This window comes from Homo sapiens, chromosome 7, assembly GCF_000001405.40.
Source record: "Homo sapiens chromosome 7, GRCh38.p14 Primary Assembly".
Taxonomy (NCBI): Eukaryota; Metazoa; Chordata; class Mammalia; order Primates; family Hominidae; genus Homo; species Homo sapiens.
Genome location: NC_000007.14, coordinates 129703648 through 129719850, shown reverse-complemented (window position 1 = coordinate 129719850; position 16203 = coordinate 129703648). Strand labels below are relative to the sequence as shown.

Genomic DNA, 16203 nt, shown 5'->3' with positions numbered 1-16203 from the left:
TGTTAGACCCCAAGCTACAGTCGGGCGGAGAATGGGGGGTGTTACTGGACTAAAGGGACGGAGGGTCTCACTTGGCCATGCCTTTCAGGAAGTTTATCTGGGTGTTTCTCTCAAAGAGAGGGGTAGAATTGAGCCAAGTGTAAGGAACCAAGTAAGACTTTCATGTTACTGAAAAGCAACATGATGAGTATATACGTGAGTGGGGGAAAAAAAGAAATGAAGAGCAACAAGAGCAACATGGCTCAATGGGCTGAAAAAAATGTTCTGATCACTAGGGACTAACTAGGTAACTCTGAGAAGATGTGTTGTGTGTGTGTGTGTGTGTGTGTGTGTGTGTGTGTGTGTGTGTGTGTTTCAGTTTCCTATTCCTAATCAACCACCAATCTCTGGCCATACTTCTTTTAAAATGAAATCACTTAGGCTGGGCGTGGTGGCTTACGCCTGTAATCCCAGCACTTTGGGAGGCTGAGGCGGGTGGATCACCTGAGGTTAGGAGTTTGAGACCAGCCTGACCAACATGGAGAAACCCTGTCTGTACTAAAAATACAAACTTAGCCGTGTGTGGTGGAGCATGCCTGTAATCCTGGCTACTTGGGAGGCTGAGGCAGGAGAATCACTTGAACCCGGCAGGCGGAGGTTGTGGTGAGCCGAGAACATGCCATTGTACTTCAGCCTAGGCAACAAGAGTGAAAATCCGTTTCAAATAAAAAAAAAAGAATCACTTTACCTCCATTCTTACTACTTCAGTTTCCAAGACCTTAACAAGGCGCTCCTGGAGTGCCTCTTCCTAACTGATCTTCTAATCTCCTCTCACTATAATCAATTCAGAATAGACAACTCTTAAAATACAACTTAAATGATAATAACTATAATTCTTGAAATGCTAACTATAGGTTGGACACCGCGATGAGAATTTTATCTATATTATCTCATATACATGATTCTGTGTGATGAGTCTTATCCTCATTATAACAATGGGGAAAACAAGGCTCAGAGGTTATGTTTCTCAGGATCAAATGGTGGAGCCAGGATTCAAACCTGAATCTATGTGACGTTGGAACCCTGCTCTCAGCCACCATACTATACAGCCTCATACAGTGAACTGTATACAAATCCATCACAGCTCTCTAGTATCTATCATAATCAATCTAAACTTTCACTGATTTTATATTTAGGGGAGGTGATCACCCTCCTCTGAATTTCTACAACGTTCACAGTCTTTACCATACAATTCAATAGTGAGTTACACTCTAAGTAATACTGTTTGCTAAGTGTTTTACTTAAATCAGTCTCCGCAATAAGAGTATGATTTCTTTGAGGGCAGAGTATATGCTAGAGCACTCTATTCTCTATTTACAGCCTTACCCAGTAGAGCTGGCATGCCGCAAGAGTTCAGCCCTTACTGTATACAAGACACTGACCTAAGGATTTCACATGGAGTAATTCAGTTCTCATAACACTCCTAGAAGAATGTACTGTTATCACTCCCATTTTACAGAATAGGAGAGCCTGGCTACTGAGAGTTCAAATCAACTGCTCGATGCCAAACAGCTTGTAAGTGACAGAGCTGGGCTTCAAACCCAAGTAGTCTGGCGTCAAGGCTCACACTCTTGACCATTAATTTAAATCCCTGAGCCCATTAAAAATAAAATTGCATCAGGAATGAAGAAGAGGGAGAATGATATGAAGCTGATCTTTCCTGTCAACAACCAGTAGAAAGAACCAGGCAGGGAATAATACAATCGAGTTTCAGAAACCACCTCTTGGAGCATCCCATTTGGCAGCACCCTTCCTAACATACCTGAAGAAAAAAGTTCATTATTTTCCCCAATAATCCAAAACTTATTTATCTTGAGCTCGCTGATAAGCAAGGGCAACACATTTTTCTCAAAAGCAAGTAAAATCAGCCATTTGCTGCTTAAACATGGATTAATACCCCCAACAAAATGCAGTTTCTTTTGTAGGGCAAAAGGACAATAATCCGAAGCCTCTTAATTTGTTCTGTATCCCTTGAAAACATGAAGCACTCAAGCCTTACTGCTTCTGCTTACTGGACACAGAATAGGATAAACGGGAAGGCTTGACCAGCTTGGGCTGGAAGTCAGAAAGGCTACACTGGTTGTTGGGGCTGGGTGGCGGCAGGAGTGAAGAATGATGCGGAGATGATCTTTCCATCAACAGCCAGTAGAAGGAACTAAGCAGGAAACAATACATTGAGTTTTGGAAACTACCTTTTACTGGAGGATTCCATTTCACATCACCTTTCCTAAGCACACCTGAAGGAAAGAAGTTTAATTTTTCTTGGTAAGGACTGACCTATTATAGGCCAAACTACAATATCGTATGGGCCAAGAGTGTTAAGTTCCAACTGCCAACTGTGGCAAACAGAGACACATTTCTCTTTAAGGGGCCTCCACCCATATCTGCAGGGACAGATTTGCGATCCTCACTTATTCCCACACTCTTGCCACCACCTGTTAAGCGCCATAGTGACTGTAGCTCCCTGCTGCATCTCCTGAGAAGCTGCCACTGCGGCCTCTGCCAACGATGCCACCGCCTGGGTGGCCTCTGATGCTTGCGTCGTCTGGATGGTCATCTCACCTCCCTGTAACGTGGCCCAATTTTGTTCCACCTGAGGCAGAAAGGACAAGATAGTAAAAAAACAAAGCCACAAAAGTACAATTTTACAAGTAATTTTTCTAATAATTGCTACTTTTTGGCTAAATACACATACTCTTTAAAATTAACATGACCTGCAATATACAGAACAGAGCTTTAAGCATGCTACCTTTTGCATAAAAAAGGGGGTATTAGAATATATACCTGAATTTGCTTGCATTTGCATGAAGAAATTCTGGAAGGACACACAAAAGCCACTGAATATATTCTCTGGATTGTATGTGTGGGGTTGAGAGGAGTTGGAAACAAGTTGGATGGGAGACAGAAAGCAAGACCTTCCACTGTACCTTTTTTTTTTTTTTGAGAGGGAGTCTCCCTCTGTCGCCCAAGCCGGAGTGCAATGGCACGATCTTGGCTCACTGCAACCTCCACATCCCAGGTTGAGCGATTCTCCTGCCTCAGGCTCCCAAGTAGTTGGGACTATAGGTGTGTACCACCACCCCTGGCTAATTTTTGTATTTTTGGTAAAGATGGGGTTTCACCACGTTGGCCAGGCTGGTCTCAAACTCCTGACCTTAGGTAATCCACCTGCCTCAGTCTCCCAAAGTGCTGGGATTACAGGCATGAGTCACCACGCCCGGCCCACTCTACACTTTTAAATACGTTTCTCAATTTACTTCCCGATATATACATACTTCAAAACAACATGTTGTGCCAGATAAATATATACAATTTTTTGTTAATTTAAATAAATACATAATAAAGTTTAAAAATATATAGGCTGGGTTGTTAGAAATGGGCCATGAGAGGAAAAAAAAATTCAAACTATACCAAAATTTCAAACTGTATCAAAGGGAATATGATACCAGTACTCTAGACCCTTTGTCCAAAGGGTCTACAACTGTGCCTATTTTCTCTTTTATTATTTTATCATTATACAATATTTCCATGTAATGTACCTATTTTCTCGTGTACCTTTGTAGAGCTATTCCTGCTATATGGAAGTATATTTACACAGACACACACACACATTCACCCCATTTCCCCTTTCTACTCCCTCCTCTAAAATAAAAATGGCAGCATATTCTACATATCTTTTGTATCTTGCTTTTTTCACAAACAGTACATCTCTGAAATGATTCCATTTTGGAACATATAAAACTACTTTACTCATTCATGATTCTTAAAAATGGCTGCATAGAATGGCTTTTTTTTTTTTGTTGTTGGAGACGGAGTTTTGCTCTTGTTGCCCAGGCTGGAGTGCAGTGGCGCGATCTCGGCTCACCGCAACCTCCGCCTCCCAGGTTCAAGCGATTCTCCTGCCTCAGCCTCCCAAGTAGCTGGGATTACAGGCACCCCACCACCACACCCAGCTAATTTTGTATTTTTAGTAGAAACGGGGTTTCTCCATGTTGGTTAAGCTGGTCTTGAACTCCCGACTTCAGGTGATCCACCTGCCTCCGCCTCCCAAAGTGCTGGGAAGCATTGCATTATATAGAAACATCATGATTTATTTAACAAGTCATCTTTTCATGCACATTTAAGTGGTTTACAGTCTTTTGCTATTAACAAACAGTGCTGTGATGAATATCCTTATATACTATTATACTTTGTATATTACATGTGAGTCTATTTATAGGGTAAATGCCTAGAGGTAGAATTATAGATCAAAGTTATTTGGCATGTTTATTTTTGATAGAAACTGCTAAACTCAGAAACTAATTTTTTAAAGTGTAGCAAAAACTGCTTTCTTTTTAGTAGGGGAGAAGTTATGAAGACTCTCCCACTGCCCACAGCAAAAAACCCAAAAATAAAAATCATACTCTCTGGTGACAGGATACATGAGAATCCAGGTTTGCTAGGCCTACAGTCTCTCAGTCTTGGCATGCTAACATTTTGGCCCAGGTATCCTTGGTTGTGGGGCTGTCCTGTGCATTGCAGGATGGTTAGCAGCATCCCGGCTTGTACCCGCTAGATGCCAATAGCACCCTCCCCAGTCAGGACGGTAAAAAATGTCTCCAGGTATTGCCAAATGTCCCCTCTGGTCTGGGGTACAGAACTACTGATTTTAGTACAATTCTCTGTGTTTAGAGACTTAGTTCTGAATACCTGTATCTAGTTACTTCAGTCCGTTTTGCTCAATAAATACTGGTTGATTAACTACCCACCCTCAAAACTGAAAAGCAGCAGGGGCAGTAAAAGCAATTTCTATTTGGAAGTACAGCAGGTGATCCATCAGCTCAGGTGTATCTGTCTTTGGACTCCTGGGTCTCAGGACCTTAGCAGTGCTTACTGCAGCTCTTGCTATTCCTGCTTCACATTGCTGGGGCCTAGTGAGTAGTTACCTTGTGCCTGCTTGTTACTGTGTCCCAAAGAAAGTGCTCCAAGCTCTAGGAGGTAGATATTTTAAATGCTTCCTGCTTTAGTTATATTACCATACTTAGATTATGATAATGCTTTTCAGAATGTTTGCCAAAAGCCTCTCAGAGAAAGAGACATTCCTTTGAGTTACCTTCGTGTTTGCCCTGAGTTCTCATGGGCAGTGGATTGTGCCAGCAAGCCTTCAGGGCCCATCACTCCTGAGGCAGAGATATCCTAGAGCTGCAAAATTGCCCCTCAGGAACTCCAAAGCTCTTGCTTTCCAAGGTTGGTTGCTTTGATCTCATTGCTCCAATGAACATCACTACCAACACTGCCACCATAAGAGGCAAGCTGCACTATCAATTCTTAGGTGGCTGATGAGTCCGCTCAAAACATCCACTGAAGCCGGGCAGTGCTGTTGCCTACTGCTAGGGAATGGTCTTCCTGTTTCTGATCTGCCCCTCTATTTCAGTCTGGCCCATGCTGCTGCTCTCACTTGAGTTTGGCCCAGTGAGGCTCTCTCAAGTCCTCAAACTCCAAAGGCAGCAAGTCAATATAGATACTTTTAGTTACAACTATATTTGTAGTGAAAATGGCATTAGAATGCTGCCATATACAGTATAATTTAAGAAAGTTAAATTATATGGCATGGAATGACAGTAAACGGTGAAGAGAAAATAGGAGGAGAAACAGAGAAGAGATTTCTAATCAGAAACACGGCAGGTGATCAAGAAATCAGCTCAAGTGCCAGCATCTCTTCGGAATTTCCTATTCCTGAGTCTCAGTGCTTTCTTAAACTGTGTTTACTTGAGCTCTTGTTGCACTCCCTTCCCCAAAGAAAGGGCCACAAGCCCTAGGAGAGGAAGATATTCAGAAGATATCTCATTAGCTACTATGCATTTCTGAGAGAGGCCCACTACCACAAGGCCCTTCAAACTGTGGCTGTTCCATGCTTTCACAAGTCAATGCACTGAATGTGTTGCTCTCTTTGACAGGATAGAACTCCCATCCCTCTCCTTTGTTTGGCTAGTTCCCACTCTAGTCTAAGCTCAGGGGCTACACCTCTGGGAAGTGTTTCCTGAGACAATTCCACTCCCCTGAAGTCCAGATGAGAGCCTCTCCTCTGCTGTTCCACAGCACCCTGGGCTTGCTGCCAGTAGACCCTTATCTCACTGCAATTGTTCTTTGCTTTTCTCTACCGCCTACCTATGTGCTCCTTAAGGGAAAGGGGAGTCTTTATTATCTTTTATCTATAGTCTCTACAGTGCCTGGCACAGGGCTCAAAAAGTGTTTACTGAAGGGATGGATGGAAAAATACTATTGATATTTTCCTATTTGTTATTCAGCCTGCCCATATTTAAGGTAAACTGACATTCATAAAAATGCACCTAAAATGAGTTATGCAATTCAAAACTGTTACATATATTGATGGTTCAGTTTAAAATTCACGTCTCTAATGTTTTTGCACTTTGGCTTTCTCTTCTAACAGAATTATATATACTATATATCATCCTAGCACTTTGGGAGGCCAAGGCAGGCGGATCATGAGGTCAAGAGATCGAGACCATCCTGGCCAACATGGTAAAACCCCGTTTCTACTGAAAATACAAAAATTAGCTGGGCATGGTGGTGCGTGCCTGGTGCTACTCGGGAGGCTGAGGCAGAAGAATCGCTTGAACCTGGGAGGCGGAGGTTGCAGTGAGCTGAGATCGTGCCACTACACTCCAGCCTGGGCCACAGAGTGAGATTCCGTCTCAGGAAAAAAAAAAAAAAAAAAGGAAACGCAACTCCATTAATGTTATAAATATTATGTGTCAAAAACAAATTATTTTATACAGAAGGAAACGAAGTTACTTTCTTTAAATAGTACCAAGAAACATTCAGTAGAGACATATGGTTGATAACTTTGTCTAAGCCAAAAACTAACACATCTCCTAACTGTACCCCTCGTTGTCTTTTCCACCTCTTTCAGACTTTAAGGAGTGTCATCTTGTTCTAGTGTTCTGGGACTGACAAATTCTTTGCTTTGCTAATCCATATCCTTTAATGATGTTTATATACTTAGAAAGTAAGTGTCCTGTCAACCTTCACCTTTCCTCACCCAATAACCAAGTTTTTCAGTGTCCCAAACTTTCCCAGGCTCCTTAGGTGGAAAGGAGGCACATACGCTTTGCAGCATCCCTTACAGGAAGGCTAGAGTTCATTCACGTAGACATCTCTCTTCCCCACTAGACTGGAGTCCCATGACAGCAAGGATCCTGTGCGAATCAACTCCACACAGCTGCAGCTACACAGGGGTTTGGCACATGCAGGGTGGCCAAGGAGCCTGTGGTGCACTCTCCCTCCATCTCCCAGCCATGTGGCCTTTGCCAGCTCTCCCCCTCTCCTGAGGGGCACAAATGAAAGTGACTTTGTGGTGTTCTAAGGGGAAATGCTCCATGGCTCTCAACAAGGGTGAGATAATACTCTTAGCTTTATTTCTGATACTGCTCTTTGACATCTGTTGGCTATTTTTCAAACTTCAGCACACCACATCAGTATCTTCAAGGGAAACACTCATGGTGACGTAACAAACCCCTTCCTTCACTGTTGCATCTTCACCAATGGCTCAGAGCCTAGGTAATGTTTTTCTCAATGCATTATCCAGCTTCAACACTGCTATGGGACTTTGGGCAAATCATCTAAGCTCTGTTATGTCTCGGTTTTCTCATCTCTAAAGTGAAGATAACAGAACTTTATACTTCATAGGGTTGAGTGTTTAGCCCACCAAGTGATCAATAAAGGTTGGCTGTCTTTAGGTTAATGTCCCATAATTATCCCAATTTTGGTAAGGAAGAATTCTCCTAAGAAATCTTTTCAAAGGCATATTTAAGATGTAATAAATCATGTTACTGACTTGCAAACATATTTATCCTTTCAAAGAAGGCTTCCCTTAGTCAGTTCCAGTTTTAATGTGACATTTTTTTTTCATAAAGACCAAAGATGAAATTCTTTGGGATTCACAGCATAAAAATGGTAAAGGGATAATCCCTTTGTATTGTGTATAATACCAAATGCTATACATTCAAATGTAAAATTCTAAGTTCCTGACATACTAATCCATGAATCTTAATTGTTACAATTAATACACATAGCATAAGACACTTTCTAAAACTTTCATGGTCTCATGCTCTTTAAAAGGTTTAAATGAAAGAGTGCCGCAGACATGCAGGCTACTCCATCTTCTGGACCCTTGCTTTTCCCTCATTATACATTCAAGTATTTAAGAAGATGCAGATGGAATCTCTTTCTTACCTCTCCATCAGCCACGGCAGAATAATTCACTTGGGCAACGGTGACCGTGGTTGGCAATTCTGAAGCATCAGCCAATGTGGCTACTGTTGCCCCCGTACCAACCTAAAGAAAAATATGGAAAGTGGTTAAGTGTCAGTGGATGGATCCTTCCACCTCTTTACTCAGAAGCTGAGACTCATTTAATCCCAAATTCAGCACAGATAACAAAGAATATGCCTTATGATGTGAAATCTAAAATCATAGCTCACTAAAATCATAGTTCAGAGACTATCACGAGTTTCAGAATTTTACTTCAACCAAATAAGTCCATATGAGAAAAGCTATCACATCGCCACATCCATGCCCAGTGTTGGTCAACCAACTTTCTATTCTCACCTCAATCTGAACTTTAGAGGTTCCCAATCAACAAATTGTGTTTTACCTCAGAAGAGGTCATTCAGAAGGAATATTCCCTGATCACTGAGAGTGAAACTGTAAAACAGAAGTCATTTTAAGGCCAGACATGGTGGCCCACATCTGTAATCCCAGCATTTTAGGAGGCCGAGGCAGGAGGATCACTTGAGCTCAGGAGTTTGAGACCAGCCTGGGCAACATAGCAAGACCTCATCTCTACTTAAAAAAAAAAAAAAAATTCAGCCAGGCCTGGTGGCATACACCTGTAGTCCCAGCTACTCGGGAGGCTGAGGAGGGAGAATCACTTGAGCCCGGGAGGTTGAGGCTGCAGTGAGCTGTGATGACAGAGAGAGATCTTGTCTCAAAAAAAAAAAGAGCCCTTTAAAAGTGCTTTGTTTTGGAAATGTCCAGGAAGCTACTCATAGCTCTGTATTTAGCAAATGCAAAGAATTTAAACTATTCTTCAGAAATCAATTTCAGGTAGGAAGATCTTGGGGAGCTATATAAAGTTCATACAAGAGTTCGCACAAAGGAAACTTTCCCTAGTCTGAGGTGAGGTGCCCACTGATCCATCTCAGAAGCCACAGTCTGGTAGCCCTCAGGTTTACTCACCTGGATAAGTGAGACAGTGCCATCAGGGTTACTAAAAGTCTGGACTACAGTCTGTGATGGTACAAGATGAGCTATACTATGTGTGGCTGTGGCCTGTGTTTGCGTTTGCTGATCTTCAAAGGCATACAAAAGGTCTTCCCGCCCATGCTGTTTATAACAGTTTTTAACTATGGTCCGTAGTGCCTGGGTCCATGAAACCTGTCACCAAATGACCGGAAAAGCACATTAAGCCACAAAGAACTTTGGTTATTTAGTCCCAATATGCAATAAGCAGCTACTTCTTTATCAAATCAAACCAAACCAAACCTCTTATTAGACTCTCCTAGGATTACCTCCCACAGACTGGTTCTGGTAGAAAGAAGCTGTGTACGAAGTATCAAAGAGGGCTTCTCATTGGTTTCTTCTTGATCAAAGTCTAGTTTACACCCTATTCCAACCTGAGGCCAAACTCTTAAACTTCTTGCAAAGAAAGATTATTCTGATCAAGAATGGCATATTAAGATTCTCAGTAAACTTCCAAGCTAAATGAAAAATAAATACGTGGCCAGGCATGGTGGCTCACGCCTGTAATCCCAGCACTTTGGGAGGCTGAGGAGGGCGGATGGCCTGAGGTCGGGAGTTCGAGACCAGCCTGACCAGCATGGAGAAACCCCATCTCTACTGAAAATACAAAATTAGCTGGGCATGGTGGTGCATGCCTGTAATCCCAACTACTCGGGAGGCTGAGACAGAAGAATTGCTTGAACCCGGGAGGCAGAGGTTGCGGCGAGCCGAGGTCACGTCATTGCACTCCAGCCTGGGCAACAAGAGTGAGACTCTGTCTCAAAAAAAAAAAAAAAAAAGAAAGAAAAGAAAGAAAAAGAAAAATAAATACGCAAAAAAAGTAAGGAATGGTAGGTAGTTTAGTCTTTCTTGTAAAAGTTTTGTTATTAGCAGACTCAGCTGGCAGACTTCATATCCCTCTAATTCCATATTTACATTTTCAACAATGATTTTTAGTAACCAGAAATAAAAGCATTTCTAAGTGTTCAAAGTGATTAATACTTTTACTTCAAGTTTCTTTGACTTTCCCAAGCACTTCATAAAATTAAAACTGCTCCAAAAGGCAACCCCGAAGACACATTTTAAATTCATCAACTCAACCCAGTCTTCTCTTTATAGTATAGTGATGGAGCGACAAATGGAAAAGGCTATAAATCAAAGAATATCAGTCTTTGGAGGGACAGGCTTAACTATTACACAAAGACTTTCTAGCACAAGATGTAGAAATGACAAAAATTGAGGTGGTTAATTTAGGATGGAAAAGCAACCAGGCAACTCAGTCAGAGGAACTCTCACCCTCTGCTTTTGCTCTTCTGTGCGGACATCACTCCGGACATTTGCCCAGGGGATATCTTCAGGCCACCAGATGGGCTTGCAGCTTTCTTTCCCCCAGCCTGGTTTTCCCCGACCTGTAGAGTACTTGAGCATCTCTGGGATAAATGCCCGAAGCTGGGCCTGGAAGAGAACAGTGTGGTCATCAATACTCATGAAAGACATCTGGGGTGTGTTTATGACTCCTTAAATTCTAACCTTATAAAACAGAGAGGTTTCCAGGAAGGTCCCAGAGAATTCTAAGATGTGACTGATGAAAACCCACTGTTTTCCATAGGTTCCTATATCTCCATGGGTGGTTGAGAATTATAAATATGTTGATAAAGTGCACCTTAGGCTGCATTTTGTAGACTTGTTCCTCTAAGAGTAAGAATATCTACCCCTAAGTTTAATTTCTGCTTCCCAAGATATTACTGGTACTATAGCTTATTTCCCTTCTACAGTTTTCATGCATGTAAGGTGCCAAACTCGGGGTGTTTTCAACACTGTTCTGGAAGTAGGAATCCATGCAATTAGATAAGAGAGAAATAAGAGGCGAGCTGATAAAATCATTATTATTTATAGATGAAGTCACCTTATATCTAGAGAATTCCAAAGAGATCAAATGAAAAACTACTACAAACAATAATGAGAATTCAATAAGGTGGCTGATTATAAAATATAGGAAAACAAACAGGCCTTTAACTTAATAAAAAGGGAAAATAACCCTAAAACTCTTCTAGAAATTTTCCAGTAAGCTAGGCCACTGTCCATGAGTCTGACATATAGACATAGTAAAGCATGTGTGAATTTAAATGCATTATGGACTTCATTCAGATTTATTTTACAAATCAAATCCAGACCAAACAGGTTTTAAACCACAAAGACAACTGCCATTCTTATTTCCTGGCATAGTAACCACACTCTGTGTGTGTTGGGGGAGGGTCTACTTTGTGAATATTCTTAATCGCTGATAATGATTTCTGGCAAGAAAAGCAGTTTATCAATTTATGATCTATTCCTCCTTCCCAGACCTACTGTCTTCCTTTTAACCTGGTGGTCTATAGCACTCCAGATATAAGTAGCATCCTGCAACTAAGGATGCACCCATACTGCCCCTGCAGCTGAAAACCAAAAAGAGGCCACTTTTAGCAATGAATCAGACTCGGGGGTGTGGATTTGTAGTTACAAAGTAAAACAAGAAAAAACAGAAATGAGAATAATTAAGTATTAATGAGAGAATGAGTACAGCAACACTTTAATATTAAAGATTTCTATAAATATCAGGTATTCTTATCATTCTTATAATAAATATTAGATATTATTTTACGAGAAGATGATACAAATTGTTACATAATAGGGAACCATGAACCCAATCAGTAATGTTGACCTAATAAAGTTCTGGTTGACGGTAGCCATGCTGTTAATTCCTGTGCCAAGCCTGCCACTTCACCTCTCTAAGTCCCCCAATGCCCCAACAGTCTCCTGCCTACAGGATATGATATAATACACTCCATATATATTTGGCTCTGGCATCAAGCAGCAGGCTGATAGAAACGTATCCATTTAAAAACCCATCAGCTGGCTCATGCGGTCATTACTTCAGTTATTTTAAGAAAGTACATCTCAAAGTCATTTTTCCCTTTATTCTAATTTCTTGGGAGTGTGTCTTTTTCTAGGCTCAAATACATAGAGCAAGAAAGGGCTTAATCTTCACACACAATATTTTATACTTCTTCATGTTAAAAAAAATGGCTTTCTCAGAGGTATAGATTAAATTGATATAGACTTTCATAAACTCCCTTTTCTTTGAATACCATTAACAGTTTCCAAAAAGGAGAATTCTTTATATTCATACCTAGGAGAGTCTGGAGAAAATGAAATGAGAAGGCTAAATAATTCTAAATTAACAAAATCCTAAAGTGGGTTGGGTGCAGTGGCTCATGCCTATAATCCCTGCACCTTGGGAGGCTCAGGCAGGCAGAATGCTTGAGACCAGGAGTTTGAGACCAGCTTGGGCAACACAGTGGGACTCTGTCTCTACCAAAAATACAAAACTCAGTCGGTTACAGTGGCACGTGCCTGTAGTCCCAGCTACTAGAGAGGCTGAGGCAGGAGGATCGCTTGAGCTCAGGAGGTCAAGGATGCAGTGAGCCATGATGGTGCCACTTCACTCCAGCCTGGGTGACAGAGTGAGACCTTGTCTCAAAACAAAACAAAACAAAACAAAACAAAAATCCTAAAGCGGGTGACAGAGCAAGACCCTGTCTTAAACCAAACAAACAAAACAGAAATCCTAAAGTGATCAGAAAGCACTCACTGTGGAGAATACTAGACTGACAGAGTCTGCTCAGATCCACCTGGAACCCTCTATATTCCCTAATTCTGGTGATCGCTTCACTTCTGACGCCTCACCCTATTTGCACCAATAGTTCCTTATGCTCCTCAGTTCTGGGTCACGTTGGCACCTGGACGTGGATATCTTTCACCCTCAAGTCTTCCTTCGGCTCTCCCACCAGGCCTTCCAACTGAGTTCCAATAACTCAATGTTACTTGAAAGGTGGGCTCAGCATCAGCCTCTTCACTTAAACTCCTACCCTACCCTCTCTCCAATCTACTTGTCTTCTCAACTTTTTTATCTTAGCAAGTAGAAAACCACCCTTTCCCCGGCCACTCAAACTAAAAATGTCAAAGTTATCTTTACTTTTCTCCTTCAACACTTACCTAGTCACACATTGCAAGTCCAGTTCTTTTGTTTTCTTTGAAACGTCTCTGGTGTCTATCCCTTCTTCTCCGGCCCCACCTTTATTCTAATTTTTTGGCCCAAGGCTAGTGTATCCTTCTAGTTGGCTTTCTTGGGAAACTCCAAGTTCTCCCTTCATTCCCTCTTCCCACATATCCTTGCCTGAGAGGTTTTCCTAAATGTTACCTACATAGCTCCAATGCTCAAAACACCTCCAAATGTCTTTTAACTATGGCAACTAAACTAGATCCTTCTGCCCAGCTTTTCAGACCCACCACAATCTGGCCTCACACTACAGTCAGTTCCCATTAATTCCCACCACTCAGCCTTGGTCCTCCATCAGACAAATCTCTGCACTGTCTTAAGAGCTGCTAAGCCCATTCCCGCTTCTTTGCCTTTGTTCTGTCCCCTGGCTGGACTATTTTCCATGCTACTATTCTAATGCCGCCACTCATTCTTTAGTGCCCAGAAAAGTCCTACATTCTTTGTGGAACATATACTAACTATTCATTCATTCTCTCTCTCTCTCTCTCTCACTCTCGGATCTTGCTCTGTGGCCCAGGCTGGAGTGCAGTGGCATGATCACAGTTCAATGCAGCCTCAACCTCCAGGGCTCAAGGGATCCTCCTGTTTCAGCCTTCAGTAGTTGGGACTAAAGGCGCATGCCACCATGCCCAGCTATTTTTTTTCTTTACTTTTCCTTCTTTTCTTTTTTTTCTTTTTGTAGAGAAGGGGTCTCCCTACATTGCCCAGGCCAATCTCCAACTCCTGGACTGAAGCAATCCTCCTGCCTCAACCACCCAAAGTGCTGGGATTTCAGGTGTGAGTCAGTGCACTCAGACTCACTTCTCTTAAGTTAGCTCTTTCTACCAAAAAGAACACAAGGGCCGGGCTTGGTGGCTCACGCCTGTAATCCCAGCACTCTGGAAGGTCAAGGAGAGCAGACTGCCTGAGGTCAGGAATTTGAGACCCACCTGGCCAACATGGTGAAACACCGTCTTTACTAAAAATACAAAAATTAGCCAGGCATGGTGGCACATACCTGTAATGCCAGCTACTCAGGAGGCTGAGGCAGGAGAATCGCTTAATCCCGGGAGGCGGAGGTTGCAGTGAGCTACGATCGCTCAACTACACTCCAGCCTGGGCAACAGAGCAAGACTCCATCTCAAAAACAAAAAACAAACCAAGAAACAAAAAAAACCCACAAGACTCAGAGTTGGCTCTGAATATTAATGTTCTCATCTGCAAAACAGTAATAATAGCAAATATACAAGGTCAATGAAGAGGCTGAGATAGCAGGTATATTAATTAATAGAAGTTTTATTATTATTACCTCAGTCATCAAGCCATCTTTTTTCAGCAACTTCTCCAGTATTCATAACTTTTGTTCTAAAATTTAGAGCTTAATTTGTTATAAAATTTAGGTGCACCATAGCTCTTTGGCAACTGATTGGTAATTCTGATTTTATAATAAGAAAAAGCTGTTTCTTTTTTTTTAAAAAAGTAGATGCTTTAAGCATCCACTCTTCAAATCTATTAAATAAAACTACTCTAAATGTAAAACAAATAAGGACTCAGAAACATCATGGCTTTAATCCAGCACAGTTTTAATCCTTAATCTGGAGAGATTGAGCATCCCTAATTTGAAGATCTGAAATCTGGAATGTTTCAAGTGTCACATGTGGAAAATTCCACCCATGACCTCAAGTCGCTGTCAAAACTTTATTTCATGCACAAAATTATTAAAAATACCCTAAGAAATTACCACCAGGCTATAGTGCATAAGGTGTATATAAAACACAAATAAATTCTGTGTTTAGATTGTGGTCCTATCCCCAAGATATCTCACTAGGTATATGCAAATGTTAAAAAAATCCAAAAATATATGAAATCCAACGTACTTCTGGTCCCAAACATTTCAGGCAGGGGGTACTCAATCTATATTAAGTTTCTATCAAAGTCTAAATGTGACCATTTGCCAAAAATAAATATTTCAAAGGTAAATGAGATTTTACTTTTAAATCAGGGAAAATAGGGAATTTATTCTCCCAATGCAAACAAATAGCTAGCTTTCTGAAATGGTTTACTAATACTGAACACACTGTAATGTACATTAAGACATTCATCATTAGTTTTTCAAGGATGGGTAAAGTGGAAAAAAGCAGAAGGCGGCAGAAGAATGAGTTTATATGTATCTGAAACAAGGTTGAGGATGAGAAATAAAGGGTGCTAGAACCAAGAAGGAACAAATTGATCATTTGGACCAATGATCAATGGCAAGCTATTACCAACCCACCCACAATGTACAGAAAGTTTAGGTGCCTTGTTCTGCTCGGTCCTTGAGCATTAAAAATACGTATTAATACAAGCAGCTCCCTCTCGCACATGCACTGTTTCTCTCCCTTCAATTAAAAAAAAACGGGGGGTGGGGGGATGTACAAGCAGATTACTAATGGAAATTGTCAGAAAAAAGGGTAACCATAATTAGAGGAAAGACAGAACTGGGAAACTTTTCAAAGATGATTTATTTGCTAGAAATCTCTGGATGAGAAATGTTTCAAATTCCTAGGAAGATGATCCTAGAGGCTAATATGTGAGGCAGGAGAAACAGAAACAGTACAAAAAGAAGGTTACTTCCACAGGCAGAAACCTCATCAAGTCAAAAAATGGAACCAGACTGAAATCAGCTGCTGGCATACAAGTTCTAATTCAGGAGCAGATCATAGCTTTTAAAAATGCTAATTATCAAGCATATAAAATTTGCCCCTATACCAAAAGAAGTAAAAGGTATTTTCTACTATAAGAGTTTGTTTTTCAGGTGTGTACAT

The 16203-nt window shown here is 41.3% G+C and overlaps 1 protein-coding gene across 4 annotated transcripts in view; it reads right to left on the bottom strand.

The window, feature by feature from the left end:
• NRF1 (nuclear respiratory factor 1) overlaps window positions 1–16203 on the bottom strand; it is a 145357-nt gene that overhangs the window by 37226 nt on the left and 91928 nt on the right. For all 4 annotated transcript variants that reach the window (NM_001293163.2, NM_001293164.2, NM_005011.5 and 1 more), the window contains 4 exons: window positions 10618–10776; window positions 9280–9477; window positions 8275–8376; window positions 2475–2632 (listed from right to left, as the gene is read on the bottom strand). In NM_001293163.2, the coding sequence (NP_001280092.1) occupies window positions 2475–2632; window positions 8275–8376; window positions 9280–9477; window positions 10618–10776 (617 nt within the window). The remainder of the gene's footprint in view (window positions 1–2474; window positions 2633–8274; window positions 8377–9279; window positions 9478–10617; window positions 10777–16203) is intronic.